At 53.5% G+C, this 17,855-nt stretch overlaps 1 protein-coding gene and 1 non-coding gene across 5 annotated transcripts in view, besides 6 other annotated features; both read left to right on the top strand.

Annotated features, from left to right (window-relative positions):
* Window positions 3,081–3,510: a silencer, noted in NCBI's record as "silent region_7821". NCBI's record gives its function as "represses an Ori minimal core promoter by ATAC-STARR-seq in GM12878 lymphoblastoid cells {active_cell/tissue: GM12878}" and the evidence as "EXISTENCE:reporter gene assay evidence [ECO:0000049][PMID:35858748]".
* Window positions 3,419–17,855, top strand: part of C16orf74 (chromosome 16 open reading frame 74) — a 43,580-nt gene continuing 29,143 nt past the window's right edge. For all 4 annotated transcript variants that reach the window (NR_161453.1, NR_161454.1, NR_161452.1 and 1 more), the window contains exon 1: window positions 3,419–3,589. The gene's annotated coding sequence lies outside the window, so the exon portion shown is untranslated. The remainder of the gene's footprint in view (window positions 3,590–17,855) is intronic.
* Window positions 4,001–4,050: a silencer, noted in NCBI's record as "silent region_7820". NCBI's record gives its function as "represses an Ori minimal core promoter by ATAC-STARR-seq in GM12878 lymphoblastoid cells {active_cell/tissue: GM12878}" and the evidence as "EXISTENCE:reporter gene assay evidence [ECO:0000049][PMID:35858748]".
* Window positions 4,061–4,120: a silencer, noted in NCBI's record as "silent region_7819". NCBI's record gives its function as "represses an Ori minimal core promoter by ATAC-STARR-seq in GM12878 lymphoblastoid cells {active_cell/tissue: GM12878}" and the evidence as "EXISTENCE:reporter gene assay evidence [ECO:0000049][PMID:35858748]".
* Window positions 7,327–7,396: an enhancer, noted in NCBI's record as "active region_11285". NCBI's record gives its function as "activates an Ori minimal core promoter by ATAC-STARR-seq in GM12878 lymphoblastoid cells {active_cell/tissue: GM12878}" and the evidence as "EXISTENCE:reporter gene assay evidence [ECO:0000049][PMID:35858748]".
* Window positions 7,467–7,546: an enhancer, noted in NCBI's record as "active region_11284". NCBI's record gives its function as "activates an Ori minimal core promoter by ATAC-STARR-seq in GM12878 lymphoblastoid cells {active_cell/tissue: GM12878}" and the evidence as "EXISTENCE:reporter gene assay evidence [ECO:0000049][PMID:35858748]".
* Window positions 7,847–7,896: an enhancer, noted in NCBI's record as "active region_11283". NCBI's record gives its function as "activates an Ori minimal core promoter by ATAC-STARR-seq in GM12878 lymphoblastoid cells {active_cell/tissue: GM12878}" and the evidence as "EXISTENCE:reporter gene assay evidence [ECO:0000049][PMID:35858748]".
* MIR1910 (microRNA 1910) lies at window positions 12,815–12,894 on the top strand. Its single transcript, NR_031731.1, has one exon. It is a non-coding gene; the product is annotated as a microRNA 1910 (primary transcript).

Raw genomic sequence — 17,855 nt, 5'->3', positions numbered from 1 at the left:
CAGACCGAGTCTCCAGGTCTGAGAAGGAAAGACGGGACTCAGAGGGCTTTGGTGTCAGGGGCCTACCTTCCCATCCTGTACCCCGCACCTGAAGAATCCCAGCCTCCAGCACCTGCCTTTCCCCGCACTCCAGGGGATTCTGATCACAGGCAGGTGTGGGGCCACAGCCCTGGCCTCGTCTCCGGGGTCTGCAGGTTCAGTGCTCCCTGCAGCTCTTCCCAGGTGGTGGGACAAGGTGAGGCTGCTGAGCGGGACTCTCCTCCCAGAGCCCATGGGTCCCCACTAGCAGCTGCCCGCCACCAGCCCCACCCCAAGGTCAAGACCAAGTTTCTCTGGCAAGCACTTCACCTGGCTGCCAGGAAAGTGACGTGCAGCTGGGCTCTCTGCTGCTAGATTCAAAGTTCTCTGTCAGAGCCAACTATTAACATCATCTGGGTCAGCCTCGACCTCCTAGGCTCAAACAATCCTCCCACCTCAGCCTCCCAAGTAGCTGGAACTACAAGCATGCGCCACTATACCTGGCAAATTTTTATATTTTTTGTAGAGATGGCAGGGGTTGTGTGTGGGGATGTCTCACCATGTTGCCCAAGCTGGTCTCGAGCTCCTGGACTTGAGCAATCCTCCCGCCTCAGCCTCCCAAAGTGCTGAGATTACAGCCATCAACCACCACACCTGGCCTCACCTAGGGGTTTTTACGTAACACCCATACCTGGGCCCTAGCTGGGCCAATTAAGTCAGAGCCCATGGGGCGAGGCCAGGACCTGGGTATTTGCTTCATTCATTTTTATTTATTTATTTGTCAGCTTGCCAGGTGATCCTGGCATGCAGTCAGGGCCGGGAACTATTGGAAAATACTCAGGGGTTCTCAGCCAAGGGCATGGTGCTCCCAGGGCACAGGTGGCAATGTTGGGAGATATTTTTTGGTTGTCATGACTTTGAGGAACGGCTCTCCTGGCACCTCGTAGGTAGAGGCCAGGGAAGATTCTCAGCACCCACAGGGCGCAGGACAGCCCCCCAGCACAAAGGGTGACCGGGCAGATGCCAACAGCGCAGACACTGGGAAAGTGACGCTGGAGTGTAAACCCACTGTTCTCACGGCAGCAGCCTCCTGGGGGAGGAGGCAGCCGGATTCTTTCCACTCCTCATCTCAGTCTGTACAGTTGACAAAACACATCCTCCTCGGCCTCCAGTCATTAGTGCACCGTCCCCTCCCCCAGGGCTGAGGCTTGGGCCAAACTCCCCTGTGATGAGCGGCTCCTGTCTCCGCTGGGGGCAGGAGAGCGCAGGAGTGGAGGAGACGGAGCAGAGTCAGAAGGCAGTCCTCACTGGCTGGGAGACCCAGGACCTGTGACCTCCCTAAGCCTCGGGCCCCACACCTGAGAGGGTTGTCATGAACAGGCAGTGACGTGAGGGCCGCCTGCCCAGTTGGCGCCAGGTTAAACACATAACCTGATAAATAAGTAAATCCCCAGTTCTCCTTTGAGGAAACTGAAGCCCAGAGACAAGCTGATCTCCACCAGTGTCACTCCTTCTGCACCCTTCCAGAACAAGAAAGCAGGGGTGAGGGCAACTGCTTGTCTGTCATCCCTAGGGACTTCCGCTGCCACCATTAGAGGAGACAGTTCACAGCAGCTCTGCCCCAAAGCTCCCTGGAGAGGAGCAGGACATAGGACCCTCAGCAGCCCAGGAAATGGCCCCTTGGGACCTTCAGGAGGTGCTGCACTTCCCCAGGGACCCGCTGACTCCTGAGGGGCTGGGGCACAGGGATCCCCTGGGATGGGCAGGAACCGGCAGTGCGGGGGAGATAGATATTAATCAAATCTTTGCACAATCATGAAAGGGAACCTGGCTGCAGGGCAGGGACAGCTGGGCTGGGAGGTGACTGATGGAGGAGGGAGACGCTGTGCCGTGGGGTCCCGGAGCCTCAGTTCTTAGTCGCCTAGGCTTGTCCATCTTAGTTCCTCAGAAGCCTAGGTCTGGTCCCTGCCTCCCCACACCCAGCGAAGGGCCGGCACACAGCCAGGCATGATGATTTGCCCACAGCCAGCTTGTTGAGCCCCCTAACCCTCCTACCCTGAAGCCTCTGAGCTCTTTCTGGCTTTCTAGCCCCTCCCCAGGGATGTGCCCTCAGCAGGGAGCCACCTGCACAGGCCTCCCCCAGCCCAGCAGCTGGGGCAGCAGCTTTGATGGGCACGCCCACCACCCCAGCACCGGCCAGCGGCAGGTCCCATCCTGCCTCCGGAGGGTGGGGACGAATGGAAGGAACGTCCTGCCCCAGGCCTGCCCCTTCTCTTTGTTAGAGGCGGGGGAGTGGGGGACATGATACATTTCCTGCCTGTCAGTCTGGACTCTATAAGGTCAGGGGAACCTAAAGATCGCCCCATTTTTAGGAATGACTCAAGCAGCAGCACACGGCTAGGAAGATGACTCCATTTCCTGCAACTCTTTGCCACATTCACTAAAGGAATGTCACTTTCCTGCTCTGTGACTCAGTTTCCCCTTCTAAGCCTCCAGAAATATATAGGGCAGGGGGTGTGGAGACGTTGGGCTTGTAGGGTGGACAGGGTACCACAGGCTTGTGACAATGACATAGAAAGCACAGGGCAGGCATCTTTCTGTTCCTCCTGCCCCACTGGGCAGGTGTCTGCAGAGGCCTCCACACAGGTAGGGCTGACGGAGGGAGTGTGCCTCCTAAGAAGCTCATCTGGCCAAAAGACCTCTGTGTCCACACCGCGGGGAGCTCTGTGTCCACACCGCGGGGAGGTGGGGGATTCCTCTCCCTGATGCTCATCAAGGTCATCACCAAACACCTGAAGCTGCCCAGGGGGCCAGGAGGCAAGCCCTGACCTCCTTGTAGGCTGCAACCCAGGGTTCGCCCCCGAAGTGGGGTGCAAAGGCTTGCGTGGAGAGCAAAAGGGAACCCCCACAGCTGCAGCCACAGGGAAGGGGCACTGCCTACCAGTCCCTGGGGTCCTGCACAAGGGGAGGGCGGCTGCAGACGGCGAGATGGGGCGGGGGGGCTGTTCTCGCCTCTCCTCTTCGCTTCCGGGCGGCGAGGTCCACTGAACCCGGGCCCCCCAGTATGGGAGGAACCCTGGTGCCCTTTTTCAACACCCAGGGCTGGGGTGCAGGGCCTCAGGGAGCCCGGCACCCAGCCCCGGAGAGGGGCGCACGGTGGGGAGCCCTACGGGCCGCGGCCCAAACTTTCCCCGGGACTGCCCGGGGCCTGGAGGGAGGAAACAGGCAAGCAGCGAGGGGTCGGGACCGCCGCCGAGGGCGCCGGGCGGGTCCTGGCACGCTCCCCAGGGAGGCGACGGGCGGGCCCGCTCCGCCCCGCGCCTGGCCCGTGCAATCCTGGCGCCCGCGGCCCGGCGGCTGCCGTCAGCGCCGCCCTCTAGGAGCGGGGCGGGACCGCGGGAGGCGCGCGGCTGCCCGAGCGCCGGCCGGGCCATGACCCCCGCTGCTCTGTCTTGCAGGCTCGTCGCCGCGGCCCCCCGAGCCCGACCGCCGCCGCCACCACCACCAGCGCCCGGGCGGGCCTCGCGCGCCTCGGGCGCGGCTCCGCAGTGAGCCCACCAAGAAGGAAGCGGTGAGTGCCCCGCGCCTCGTGCCCGCCGCCCCTTCCCCGGGACGCCCGCCTTCCCCGAGCAACGCGGCCCCGGCCGGGCGGCGTCCACGCCTCGCAAGCTCTAGCCGCTGCAGGGGCGCGGCCCGGGGGTCGGTGGGAGACCCACGCGGGCCCGGGCGTCCCCCCAACTTCTTGCAGACTTTGCTGCGGAGACACGGGCTTTGGGAAACTTGGCCCGGCTCTGGCCGCGCTGCAACTTGCACGGCGGTGGGGGTGTGACCCCGCGCGGAAGCCTCTGGCCCCCCACTCACCACAGGCCACCCCGCGCCGTCACGAGTTCCTTGGGAATGGACCAGAACGCCATTCCTGAGAGCTGGAAGGCAGCCCGGCGGGGGGCGGGGGCAGGAGGCCTCCCGAGGAACCATTTCCACTCTATCGAGTATTTCCAAATCTATTATTTATGAACTGCCTCACTTAGGGGCCCCCCTGCGCTCCCAGGGCATCAAAGCAGGTTTGCAACCGCGAAGGGCGACCCGTGTGGACGCACGCGCTCCTTCTCCTGGCTGGCTGCGCTCGAGCGGAACTAGGGGAGGTCTCAGTAAAAAGGGGCACCCGCAGCTCCCCCCAGGGATAGGCGGAGGGCGGGGTCTGAGGGCGGCTGGGACTTCTCTCAGACCGCCTCCGGCTGCGGGGCCCAGATGGAATCAAGGGAAAATCTGTGCAGGCTCGACAGGCTTTGGAGCCCGGAGGAAGAGGGAGGAAGGGAAGGCTGCGAGGCAAAGGCACTTGTGAGGTAGTGCGGTTCTCGGGGAACGAACGCCTCAATGTACAGGTTAGGAAACTGAGGCTCTGAGAGGGATACCCTGAGTCACAGGCTCTGGCGTTTCCTGCCTAGACCCCACCCATCCAACGCTGTGGGGAGGCCCCTGTCCTGGGCTGGGTTAACTCCAAAAAGCACCCTCACCTGTGCAGGCCACGCCCTCCTTGGGTTCTGCGCCCCCACCGCTGGGGACCCGGTCCTGTGGATGGGAGGAGGCCGTGTATTTATGGAAACACTTAATCCCTCACCAGCCCCAAGGAGGCTGAAAGCTCACCACCTAATCTCGTCTCCCTGGAAGCGCCTTCCCATGCCGGTGGGGTGCACCCCAGACCCACGTAGAGTGTATTTTCCCAGCCCAAGGTGCAGGTCACCTCTGGAGACTTGAAATGGGAGCGTGCCGTCAGTGGACACTGAAGAAGAGCGCACTGATAGTTCATGCTTACGGAGCACTCCTCATGCACCAGACCCTGCGTTTTCTGTTTTAATCCCCTGACCAACTCTCCAACCAAATACTGTCAGCCCCATTTTAAAGATGAGGAAACAGGGCCAGGCACAGTGGCTCACGCCTGTGGCTGCAATACTTTGGGATGCCAAAGCAGGAGGAGTGCTTGAGGCCAGGAGTTCGAGACCAGCCTGGGCAACACAGTGAGTCCCCCCAGCTACTAAAAATTTTTTAATGAGCTGGGTGTGGTGCATACCTGTAGTCCCAGCTACTTAGGAGGCTGAGACGGGAGGTTTCCTTGAGCCCAAGAAGTTGAGGCTACAGTGAGCTATGATCACGCCACTGCATTCCAGCCTGGGCAACAGAGGGAGACCCTGTCTCTTAAAAAAATAATAATAAATTAAAAAATAAAAATGAGGAAACAGAAGCTTGTAAAGGCAAAGTCACTGACACAAGGTTACATGGCTGGAAAATGGCAAGGCCAGGCCTGGAACCCTGAGCCGTGGTACTGAATTGCTCTTACCTGCAGTGGAAGCCAGGCTAGGCCTCTGGGCCTGCTAAGTATAATCCCCCATCATTAAAAAGATTAGTAAGTGATGATGGGGCCCAGGCACAGTGGCTCACACCTGTGATCCCAGTGCTTTGGGAGGGTGAGGCACGAGCATCACCTGAGGCCAGGAGTTTGAGACCAACCTGAGCAACATAGTGAGACTCCTTTCTCTAAAAAAAAATAAAATAAAAAAAAAAAAAAAAAAAAAATCAAAGCCTCCCAATCATCTGAATGGACCACTCCCCTTGGCTAAGGGCATTCCAGAGTTAACCTGCAAAGCTAGTTCAGGCCATGATGAGAAGTGGGGTCAGACATGCCTCATTATACTCTCTTGCCTTTTGAAATTGAGACCCCGCAGACCAGCATTAACATCAGTGCAGACCTTCAGACTAATAGGACAGTCCCTTTAAGTCTGATAAGAAACATGTACAATCTGTTCTCTCTCAAGCCAAACTCCTTATCGTAACCCAGACATTCCTTTCTATGGATTCCAGGTCTTTAGATAATAACTCTTTTGGGTTTTTTTGTTGTTTTTTCTTGAGACAGTCTTGCTCTGTCACCCAGGCTGGAGTGCAGTGGCGTGATCTCGGCTCACTGCAACCTCCGCCTCCCAGGCTCAAGTGATTCTCCTGCCTCAGCATCCTGAGTAGCTGGGATTACAGGTGCGTGCCACCATGCCCGGCTAATTTTTGTATTTTTAGTAGAGATGGGGTTTCGCCCTGTTGGTCAGGCTGGCCTCAAACTCCTGACCTCGTGATCCACTCACCTCAGCCTCCCAAATTGCTGGAATTACAGGCGTGAGCCACTGCACCCAGCCCAGATAATAACTCTCTCAACCATTTGCCAATCAGAAAATTTTTGAATCCTCCTATGACCCAAAAGCCATGTCTCCCCATCCCACGTACTTCCCCCTTCAGTTGTCCCACCTTTCCAGATGAAACCAATGTATGTATGTGTATATATATATATATACACATATATATATATACACACACATATATATATACACACACACATATATATATATGTATATATATATATATTTTTTTGAGACGGAGTCTCGCTCTGTCACCCAGGCTGGAGTGCAGTGGTGCAATACCAGCTCACTGCAACCTCTACCTCCTAGGTTCAAGCAATTCTCTACCTCAACCTCCTGAGTAGCTGGGATTACAGGCACCTGTGCCACACCTGGCTAATTTTTTTGTATTTTTAGTAGAGATGGGGTTTCACCAAGTTGGCCAGGCTGGTCTTGAACTGCTGACCTTGTGATCCACCTGCCTGAGCCTCCCAAAGTGCTGGGATTACAGGCATGAGTCCTTGCGCCCAGCTGGAACCAATGTATATCTTGTATGTACTGATTGATACCTTGTGTCTTCCTAATGTATAAAACCAAGCTGTAGACCAACTACCTTGGGCACATATTCTCTGGGTCTCCTGAGGCCATTGGTCACTCACATTTGACTCAGAATAAATCTCTTCAAATATTTTACAGTTTGATACTTTTTGTGGGCAAGATGATATGCCCATTGTAATAAGTGTACATCAAAAGTGTGCACCAGGTCAAGAAAGAGACCTTCAGCCCCCCAGGACACCCCCAGAAATCCCTTCATGCTCCTCCCAGCCATGGTTTCCCTATGGGTAGCCGTTAACCTGACTTCAAATAGCAGACCCCTTTTATTTATTTTGAGATGGGGTCTCTCTGTTGCCCAGGCTGGAGTGCAGTGGCATGATCATGGCTCACTGCAGCCTCAACCTCCTGGGCTCAGGTGATCCTCCCAACTCAGCCCCCCAAGTAGTTGGGACCACAGGTGTGTGCCACCATACCCAGCTAATTTTTGTATTTTTCTGTGGAGACAGGATTTCACCATATTGCTCTGGCTGGTCTCAAAGCCCTCTTATTTTTTGATAAATGTTTTTATTGATGTATAATGTACAGAAAGGTGCTCAAATCCTAAAGGTGTTCAGCTCTATTATTTCACGGTGGCCCAGAGTCGGCAATGGGCAAGTATTTTGCTGTGAGTCACACGGCTCATCCGTGGGAGGCCAAGCAGGTGGGGATTTCGGTGGGCCTCCTGCCTCCACCCCATCCTGTTTCGCTTCCTGCTGGTGAAGGCTTCCTGTGGGCCAGGTGGAGGTCCTGGCCACTCAGAGAGGGACTCACTGTCCCCGCAGGACCGTGGCTAAGCTGAAGACCAGGATGGAAGCACATGAATGCTTGCAGTATCGCTTCCCAACCCAGTTCCTTTGGCTGGAGTTGTAGGAATTCTAATCCTGCTGCAGAAAGAAAGTGGCTTTCCTAAAGAAGGAAGAAAAGCACCATGTGTGTCGTGAGCCTGCTGGGAGCCCCGCTTGCCCGCACTCTCTTCCCTGCTTGCAGCATGACCAGGCCCAGAGAGCTGAAGGGGCTTACCAAGCCTCAGAGACCACCCTGCCCCACTGGGATTGGAGCCCACTCACCTGGCAAACAGTCACATTCTTCAGCTGTGACTCTTCTTCAGCCCTGCCCTCTTCTGGGTCCTCCTCCCAGGAGGTCTTTGTTAGGCAAGCAGGGCAAGGTGCCACCGTGACTCAGGACCTCCATGGGGTTACTCTGATTTCATCTGGGAGGTGGCTCTGCAGGAACCAGTTCATTCACTTTCCCTGTCTAGTTCTCCAGGTCCCCATCTGGGACAGCCAGACGTTAGAAATCAGATGACCTTGAATAGAGTGGTCAGATTCAGCAGATAAACACAAGGATAACTAAGTTATCCAGCTAAGTTTTTGTTGTTGTTTTTGTTTGTTTGTTTGAGGCGAGTCTCACCTTGCCGCCCAGGCTTGAGTGCAGTGGCGCGATCTCCACTAGCTGCAGCCTCTGTCTCCCAAGTTCAAGCGATTCTCCTGCCTCGGCCTCCCTAGTAGCTGGGATTACAGGCGCCCTCTGCCATGCCCAGTTAATTTTTGTATTTTTAGTAGAGACGGGGTGTCATCATGTTGGCCAGGCTGGTCTTGAACGCCCAGCCTCAAGTGATCTGCCTGCCGCCTCATCCTCCCAAAGTGCTGGGATGACAGGAATGAGCCACCGCACCCAGCCCCAGCTAAGTTTAACTGCAGATAAACAATGAATAGTTTTTATGAGTGTGTCCCATGCAATAACTGGGCATCCTGTATTTTACCTGGCCATCTCTCTCTGACCACTTCCAGCTCTAGATTTCTATGAGCCTCTCCAGGATGGGTTTATCTCATAGCCTAGAGCTGAACTTCTGTGATCCACACAAGTGGTAACTGAAGGGAATCGGCAAACGTTGGAGCCCACTTTGAAAAGCAGGGTCCCTCCAGCCAGCGGGAGATTCTGTGTCTTTGGAAAGCAGGGTCCCTCCAGCCAGCGGGAGATTCTGTCTCTGGTAGGCAGTGAGCAGGGTCCCTCAGTCAGCGGGAGATTCTCTGTCTTTGAAAAGCAGGGTCCCTCCAGCCAGCGGGAGATTCTGTGTCTTTGAAAAGCAGGGTCCCTCCAGCCAGCGGGAGATTCTGTCTCTGGTAGGCAGTGAGCAGGGTCCCTCAGCCAGCGGGAGATTCTCTGTCTTTGAAAAGCAGGGTCCCTCCAGCCAGCAGGAGTTTCTGTCCCTCACAGTCAGTGCTATGTCTTGGTTGCTTTTGACTTTATGAAAGAACACATCATTTTGCTTTTCTGTTTGCACTGAAAATCTGTAGAGGGCAAGCTGACAAGCAGTCTGTTGTGAGCTGGTAATTTGTGGCACCTGCCTTCAAGGCTGTTGCAAAAACAAACACAGCCAACATGGAAGTGGGACCTGTCCCTGGAGATGCTCTTGGCCTTAGAGAAGCTGTGTGGCATGCATGACATCTGATGTCTGTCTGTCTTGCCACCCCTCAGGAGGGGGTGGACCTCTGCCGAGGAAGTCAGTTTTTATAATTGCCCATTGCCCATCCTTGTCACCAGAGAGAATCCGTGACCATTTGGCGACAGGGAGATTTTTTTTTTTTTTTTTTTTTTTTTTTTTAGACAGAGTTTCGTCTTGTTGCCCAGGCTGGAGTGCAATGGTGGAATCTCAGCTCTCCACAACCTGCAGCTCCCAGGTTCAAGCGATTCTCCTGCCTCAGCCTCCCGAGTAGCTGGGATTACAGGCGTGCGCCACAATGCCTGGCTAATTTTGTATTTTTAGTAGAGATGGGCTTTCTGCATGTTGGTCAGGCTGGTCTTGAACTCCCAACCTCAGGTGATCCGCCCACCTCGGCCTCCCAAAGTGATGGTATTACAGGCGTAAACCACTGCACCCGGCTGACGGAGAGTTTTTTTTTTTTTTTTTTTTTGAGATGGAGTCTTGCTCTGTTGCCCAGGCTGGAGTGCAGTGGCACGATCTCGGCTCACTGCAAGCTCTGCCTCGTGGGCTGACACCATTCTCCTGCCTCAGCCTCCCAAGTAGCTGAGACTACAGGCGCCTGCCACCATGCCTGACTAATTTTTTGTATTTTTAGTAGAGACAGGGTTTCACCGTGTTAGCCAGGATGGTCTCGATCTCCTGACCTCGTGATCCGCCCGCCTTGGCCTCCCAAAGTGCTGGGATTTCAGGCATGAGCCACCGCATCTGGCTGCTGACAGGGAGATTTTTATGCCTGGGTGCAAGAAAGAACCTGTTCTTCTTCAAGCTGTTGTGCAAATAATTAACAATCTGATATTTCAACGGGAACATAAACAGAGCCCAATTCAATATGAAACGGAAGTTTTTCACACCCCTGCAAATGTGTGAAAAAGATAGAACATTTATACCTAAACTAGCAGTTCTTTTGGGCCCAACTGCTCCCATACCATCATGCCAAGCTAAGGGTATCCTTGCCTTAAATCTTTTTTTCTCCCATTAAATCTTTATTTTATTTTCTTTTTCTTTTCTTTTCTTTTTTTTTTTTTTTTTTTTTTGAGACGGAGTTTTGCTCTTGTTGCCCAGGCTGGAGTGCAATGGCGCAATCTCGGCTCACCGCTACCTCCGCCTCCCAGGTTCAAGCAATTCTCCTTCCTCAGCCTCCTGAGTAGCTGGGATTATAGGCATGCACCACCATGCCCGGCTAATTTTGTATTTTTTTTTTCTTTTGAGATGGAGTCTCGCTCTGTCGCTCAGCCTGGTGTGCAGTGGCACAATCTCGACTCATTGCAAGCTCCGCCTCCTGGGTTCTCACCGTTCTCCTGCCTCAGCGTCCCGAGTAGCTGGGACTACAGGCGCCCAACACCATGCCCGGCTAATTTTTTTGTATTTTTAGTAGAGACGGGGTTTCACTGTGTTAGCCAGGATTGTCTCGATCTCCTGATCTCGTGATCCGCCCGCCTCGGCCTCCCAAAGTGCTGGGATTACAGATGTGAGCCACCGCGCCCAGCCCAATTTTGTATTTTTAGTAGAGACAGGGTTTCTCCGTGTTGGCCAGGCTGGTCTGGAACTCCTGACCTCAGGTGATCTGCTCGCCTCAGCCTCCCAAAGTGCTGGGATTACAGGCTTGAGCCACTGCGTCCGGCCTTAAATCTTTATTTTCTAGTTACAAAGATACGTGTGTTTGTAACAAACTCAAACAATCTAGAATTCTGGCGTGTGGAATAGAACACTGCAACCCAGTGCAGTGATGTGGGCTTGGCTTTAGTGTCTGGCAGCCCAGAGCTGTAGCTTGCTAGCCCTGGGTGCTGGGAGTCGCTGGACAGCTGTGAGCCCCAGCTCCTCATTTATAAAACAGGATGGTGATAATGTTTATCTCTTAGGGCATTGTTAGGGTTCAGTGGCATCGTTTTTATAGCAAACTTGGCCCAGAATTTGGCACACTGAAAACAGCTGGATATCTATCAGCTGATATTGTCATGACGATGATGATAAAGTTTAAGGTAACAGTGGCTCTTCCCTATGTTTAGACAACTGTATGGCTTCTATTCAGACAGATGTAGAATCAAAGCTGTAACTCCTCCTTCTCAGACATTTCAGCTCATCTAAGGGGCCTCTCGCATGAAAGCATCTGTGGTCTCTGCAGGAGGCTGGCCCCAGATCTCAAAGGGAGTGGACAGGGCTCTCCACACTCCCACATAAATTCACCCCCAACACAACAGGCCACACTGTGGAATTGGGGCCACGTAGTGGGGGTGCCCTGGTGGTACCTAGTGGCAATCACACTGATGACGATGATGAGGATGATGATGGTAAAGGTGGCAGCAACAATGATGACAGTGACAAGGATGACAACAGTAGTGAGGTGACACCTGTCTTAGTCCATTTGTGTTGCTGCAAAGGAATACCCAAGGCTGGATAATTTATAAAGAAAAGAGGTTCATGCTGGGCACCGTGGCTCACGCCTGTAATCCCAGCACTTTGGGAGGCTGAGGCAGGCGGATCACCTGAGGTTGGGAGTTCAAGACTAGCCTGATTAACATGGAAAAACCCCATCTCTACTAAAAATACAAAATTAGCCGGGTGTGGTGGCGCATGCCTGTAATCCCAGCTACTCGGGAGGCTAAGTCAGGAGAATCGCTTGAACCCAGGAGGCGGAGGTTGCAGTGAGCCGAGATCGCACCATTGCAGTCTAGCCTGGGCAAAAAGAGTGAAAGTGTGTCTCCAAAAAAAAAAGTTTCATTTGGCTCACAGTTCTGCATGCTGGACAAGAAACATGGCGCCAGGATGGTGAGGGCCTCAGGCTGCTTCCACTCAAGGCGGAAGGTGAAGGGGAGCCACAGAGATCATGTGGCGAGAGGGTGGCAGCAAGTGGGAAGCAGGGAAGGTGCCAGGCTCTTTTATTTTTTCTGAGACGGAGTCTCGCTCTGTCACCCAGGATGGAGTGCAGTGGCATGATCTCGGCTCACTGCAACTTCTGGCTCCCAGGTTCAAGCGATTCTCATTCTTCAGCCTCCTGAGTAACTGGGATTACAGGCATGCACCATCATAGCCAGCTAATTTTTGTACTTTTAGTAGAGACGGGGTTTTGCCATGTTGGCCAGGCTGGTCTCAAACTCCTGACCTCAAGTGATCCAGCCACCTCAGCCTCCCACAGTGCTAGGATTACAGGCGTGAGCCACCACGCCCAGCCACCAGGCTTCTTTTTAACAGCCAGCTCTTGCAGGAACCAATAGGGAGCGAACTCATCCATTACTGTGAGGACGGCACCAAGCAAGCTGTTCATGAGAGATTGCCCCATGACCCAGACACCTCCCATCAGGCCCAGTGTTCTGAATCAAATTTCAACATGAGGTTTGGAAGGGACAAATATCCAAACTATAGCAATAAGAATGATGAGAACAATGATGATGATGAAGATGATGGTGACAACTCTGTCCCAGGCCCTGTCCTGGAGGCTGGTGGCTCAATGCCTGTTTGGCAGAGGAGGACACAGAACCTGGGGGACCGAGCCCCAGCACCTCAGACTCGGGAAATGACCTGCTTGAGGTGGCACAGCTCCTCTAGACTCCCAATTCTTTCTTGTCCCTTCAGCCAGTCCTGTGCCTGCCGCCTTTGTGCTGTCCTTGGAGGGAGGCAGAAGCAGGATGACAATGAGGGCAAGTTCAGGGACACTGTGGGAGATGAGAAAACTTGCTGTGTGAAAACTCTCCACGTGGGAGTTCCACACACCCCACATCAAATTGCCATATGTGGACGTGACCACCCTCGATGCTGCACCTGCCTGACCCTCACTGCATCCTGCCCCCAGTGTCACCTGAATCCTGGCTGGAGCTGCTCCTGGTCCCCCATCCTCTGGTTTGCTTCTTCCCTCCTTCCCTCCCTGCCTTCCTTCCTTCCCCTGTGTGTTTTGAGGTAGGGGTCTTTCAAATTGCAAGACAGCTGTTCAGAGAAAACCTGTCAGTTCCAGACACCTCTTCAGGGAGGTGGTGCTGCCTGGCACGGCATAATACAGATCCTTTGCTCGGCCAGAGCCTGGCCCCAGGAACGCATCTCCACCAAGCTGTAGAAGCTGCTAGCAGGAAAACGCGATCTGACGCACATGCTGCCGCCCGCATCCTGCCCTGGGAGACCATGGTGGGGAGGCCAGGCATTGCGCAGACTCTCACTGAGCTGCCCTGTCTCTTCTGGATGTTGCCTTTCTTTCCTTTTTAAGCCTTTTTCTTGAAGCAGTTTCAAAGTTAAAGAAGAGTTGTGAGAATATGAAGAGGCCCTGCAAATATCCTTCGCCAGAAATGAACATTTACCTACACGCGTGTCCTCATCTCTCCCTGCACGTATTCATGCGTATCACTATGTTCCTGCTGAACAATTTGAGAGTTAAGTTACGGAAATGATGACTCTTGAGCCCAGACACGTCAGTGTATATTTTCTTTCTTTTTTTTTTTTTTTTTTTGAGGGTCTCACTCTCTTGCCCAGGCTGGAGTGTAGTGGCACAATCTCAGCTCACTAAAACCTCCATCTCCCAGGTAGCTGGCATTACAGATGCCCGCCACCAAGCCCGGATAATTTTTTTTTTTTTTTTTTTTTTTGAAACAGAGTCTCGCTCTGTGCCCCACGCTGGAGTGCAGTGGCACGATCTCGGCTCCCTGCAAGCTCCGCCTCCCGGGTTCACGCCATTCTTCTGCCTCAGCGTCTCTAGTAGCTGGGCCCGCCACCACGCCTGGCTAATTTTTTATATTTTTAGTAGAGACGGGGTTTCACCGTGATAGCCAGGATGGTCTCGATCTCCTGACCTCGTGATCCTCCCACCTCAGCCTCCCAAAGTGCTGGGATTACAGGCGTGAGCCACCGCGCCCGGCCACACCTGGATAATTTTTTGTATTTTTAGTAGAGAGATGGGGTTTCACCATGTTGGCCAGGCTGGTCTCGAACTCCTCACCTCAGGTGATCTGCCCTCCTCAGCCTCCCAAAGTGCTAGGATTACAAGGCGTGAGCCACCATGCCTGGCCATCAGTGTATATTTTCTAAGAGCAAGGACCATTTCTTTTTCTTTTTTTTTTTTTTTTTTTGAGACAAAGTCTCGTTCTTGTCGCCCAGCCTATGGGTGCAATGGCGTGATCTCGGCTCCCTACAACCTCTGCCTCCTGGGTTCAAGCGATTCTCCTGCCTCAGCCTCCCGAGTAGCTGGGATTACGGGTGCCTGCCACCACGCCTGGCTAATTTTTGTATTTTTAGTAGAGACGGGGTTTCACCATGTTGGCCAGGCTGGTCTCGAACTCCTGACCTCAGGCGATCCACCCGCCTCGGCCTCCCTAAGTGCTGGGATTACAGGCATGAGCCACTGCGCCCGGCCGAGCAAGGACCATTTCTTACAGAACACAGTACAATAATCAGAATCAGAAAACTTAATATTGACCCCAGACTGTCACCTAAAATACAGTTGTTTCTCTTCTGACTGTTTTATTACTTCTTTTCTTTTTTTGAGACAGGGTCTTGCTCTGTCTCCCAGGTAGTGCAGTGACACCATCACGTCTCACTGTAGCCTCCACTTCAAGGAGGCTCAAGCGATCCTCCTACCTCAGTCTCCTGAGTAGCTTGGGTTACAGGCATGCACCACCATGACTGGTTAAATTTTGTATTTTTTTGTAGAGATGGGGTTTCGCCATGTTGCCCAGGCTGGTCATTACTTTTCAAACAAACACACCAGTATGTCATGCTCTCCTATCTCCCAGTCTCAACAGTAAACAGCATCCCGCTGCTCTCATGGTGACGCCTCCCTGTGCCCCACAGCATTTTGTTGTTGTTGTTTTACTGAAGTATTTTACAGCAAATTCCAGACATCATTCTTTCTGTGAGAACTTCTGTACAGATCACTGGTTTTCAAACCCTGGGTTGAGACATGTCAAAATCCACCGGGTGGGCTGTGATCAATGCTGAACAAAGACAGGATAAAAGGGAATAGATGATAAAATCCGAGTACTTTGTGCAGGGCCGGTCTGCGCTTGGTTGGGATGTCGAGTCTGGCTTACCAGCAGCCACAGTCCAGGGAGGTTTGGGAAGCCTGGCCAGCAGAGGCCCTGGGGCTCTGTGCAGCTTTCCCTCTGGCTTATTGTGGTTGATCCTGACGTCAGGGCTGCAGGACCCCTTGGCAAGGCTGGCGGCAGGAGAGCCAGCATGGGCACAATTGATGAGGGATGGAGATGAGGTCTGCTCCGCCCTCCCCTGTTCCTGGAAGCTCTGTCCCCTGGGGACTCCAAGACTTCCCAGGTCTGCCTGGTCACTAAAAGCGTGGGCTCTAGAGTCCAAAGTTCTGGCTTCAAATCCCTGTTCTGTCACTTGCTACCCAGATGACCTTAGGCAAGTTAACTAATTTCTCTGTGCCTGTTTCCTGTGAGATGGGGACAGGAACGGTCCCAACTTCATGGGGTTATAGTGAGGATTCACTAACCATGAATACACATAAAGGGCTCTGAACAGTGCCGGGCCCATGGTGAGTGCCAGGAAATGTGCCTGTCGCTCCCACAGGCCTGGGCCCTCCGTCCCTCAGCCCCAGCCCCACTCCTCCGCTACCCCTCACTCCTCCCATAGGGAAGGATTCTCTCTCCTGCATGTGAGAGTCCTGCAGGGAGCTTTTAAAAATCCCAGTGCCGGGCCCGGCGCGGTGGCTCACACCTGAAATCCCAGCACTTTGGGAGGCCGAGGTGGGTGGATCACTTGAGGTCAGGAGTTCGAGACCAGCCTGGCCAACATGACAAAATCCCATTTCTACTAAAAATGAAAAAAAAAAAATTAGCTGGGTGTCATGGTGCACGCCTGTAGTCCCAGCTACTCGGGAGGCTGAGGCAGGAGAATCACTTGAACCTGGGAAGTGGAGGTTGTGGTGAGCCAAGGTCACGCCACTGCACTCCAGCCTGGGCAACAGAGTGAGACTCTGTCTCAAAAAAAAAAAAAAAATCCCAATGCCAGCCACACACCAGACCAATTGCCCCAGAATCTCTGGGGGTGGGGCTCAGGCAGCAAGCAGCATTTTGTTTTTAAGAGACAGGCTCTTGCTGTCACCCAGGCTGGCGTGAAGTGGCACGATCAAGGTTCACTGCAGTCTCAACCTCCTGGGCTCAAGTGATCCTCCCACCTCAGCCTCCTGAGTAGCTGGGACTACAGGCACAGGCCACCACACTTGACTAATTTTTTAAAAATGTTTTATAGCCAGGGTGTCCAATCTTTTGGCTTCCCTGGGCCACACTGGAAGAAGAATTGTCTTGGACCACGCATAAAATACACTAATGACAGCTGATGAGCTAAAAAAAAAAAAAAAAAAATCACAAAAAAAATTCATAATGTTTTAAGAAAATTTACAAATTTGCGTTAGGCCACATTCAAAGCCACCCTGGGCTGCAGGCAGCTGGAGGGCTGCGGGTTGTACAAGCTTGTTCTTTGTTTTTTGTTTTTGAGATGGAGTTTCGCTCTTATTGCCCAAGCTGGAGTGCAGTGGCATGATCTTGGTTCACTGCAACCTCCATCTCCCAGGTTCAAGAGATTCTCATGCCCAAGACTCATGAGTAGCTGGGATTACAGGCACCCACCACCACACCCAGCTAATTTTTTGTATTTTTAGTAGCGATGGGGTTTCACCATGTTGGCCAGGCTGCTCTCGAACTCCTGACCTCAGGTGATCTGCCCACCTCGGCCTCCCAAAGTGCTGGGATTACAGACGTGAGCCACCGCGCCCAGGCGTAAGCTTGTTTTATAGAGACAGGGTCTTCTTATGTTGCCCAAGTTAGTCTTGTACTCTTGGCCCCAAGTGATCCTCATGCCTCAGCCTCCCCAAGTGCTGGGATGACAGGTGCGAGTTACCTAATCCGGAAGAAAAGGTATTTTGTAAAGCTCCTGGGTGATGTGCGGAGGCTGCAGTGCCCAGCTCTTCTTGGCTGTAGTGTGGATGCAGGTTCTGAGTGGGCAGGGCCAGCTCAGGGCCTGAGACTCTGCATGCACAGCTACCGGGAAGCCTGTGCTGCTGTTCCATGGGCCATTCTGGGAACAGCAAGGCCCTGGATAAAAGGCCTAGCTGGAAACCTCGACCTCCTTTCCCTCCCTCTCTGTCAGGAGGGACAGCAGCAGCTGACATTGTTCGGACTTCTCCTCTGTCCCCAGCACAGATCACTTCCCCACACTCAGTTCTCGCTGCTGCTCAATGAGACTGTTATGTGCCTCACCCCTTTTTACATTTTTTTTTTTCTCGAGATGAAGTCTCACTCTGTCGCCCAGGCTGCAGTGCAGTGGCACGATCTCAGCTCACTGCAACCTCCACCTACGGGTTCAAGTGATTCTCCTGCCTCAGCCTCCTGAGTAGCCGGTATTACAAGCACCCACCACCATGCCTGGCTCATTTTTTTATTTTTAGTAGAGATGGGGTTTCACCATGTTGGCCAGGCTGGTCTTGAACTCCTGATCCACGCACCTCGGCCTCCCAAAGTGTCAGGATTATAGGCGTGAGCCACTGTGCCCGGCCAGCTCATCCCATTTTAAAGATGAGGAAAGTGAAGTCTTGAGATAAACTATCCGTGATCACATGGCTGGGAGTTGCCAAGCTGGGACCTGGCCCAGCTAGTGCAATGGGGAAG

The sequence above is a fragment of the Homo sapiens genome, chromosome 16, assembly GCF_000001405.40.
Source record: "Homo sapiens chromosome 16, GRCh38.p14 Primary Assembly".
Taxonomy (NCBI): Eukaryota; Metazoa; Chordata; class Mammalia; order Primates; family Hominidae; genus Homo; species Homo sapiens.
The sequence above is the reverse complement of the archived record's forward strand: the minus strand, read 5'-3'. Positions and strand labels throughout refer to the sequence as shown.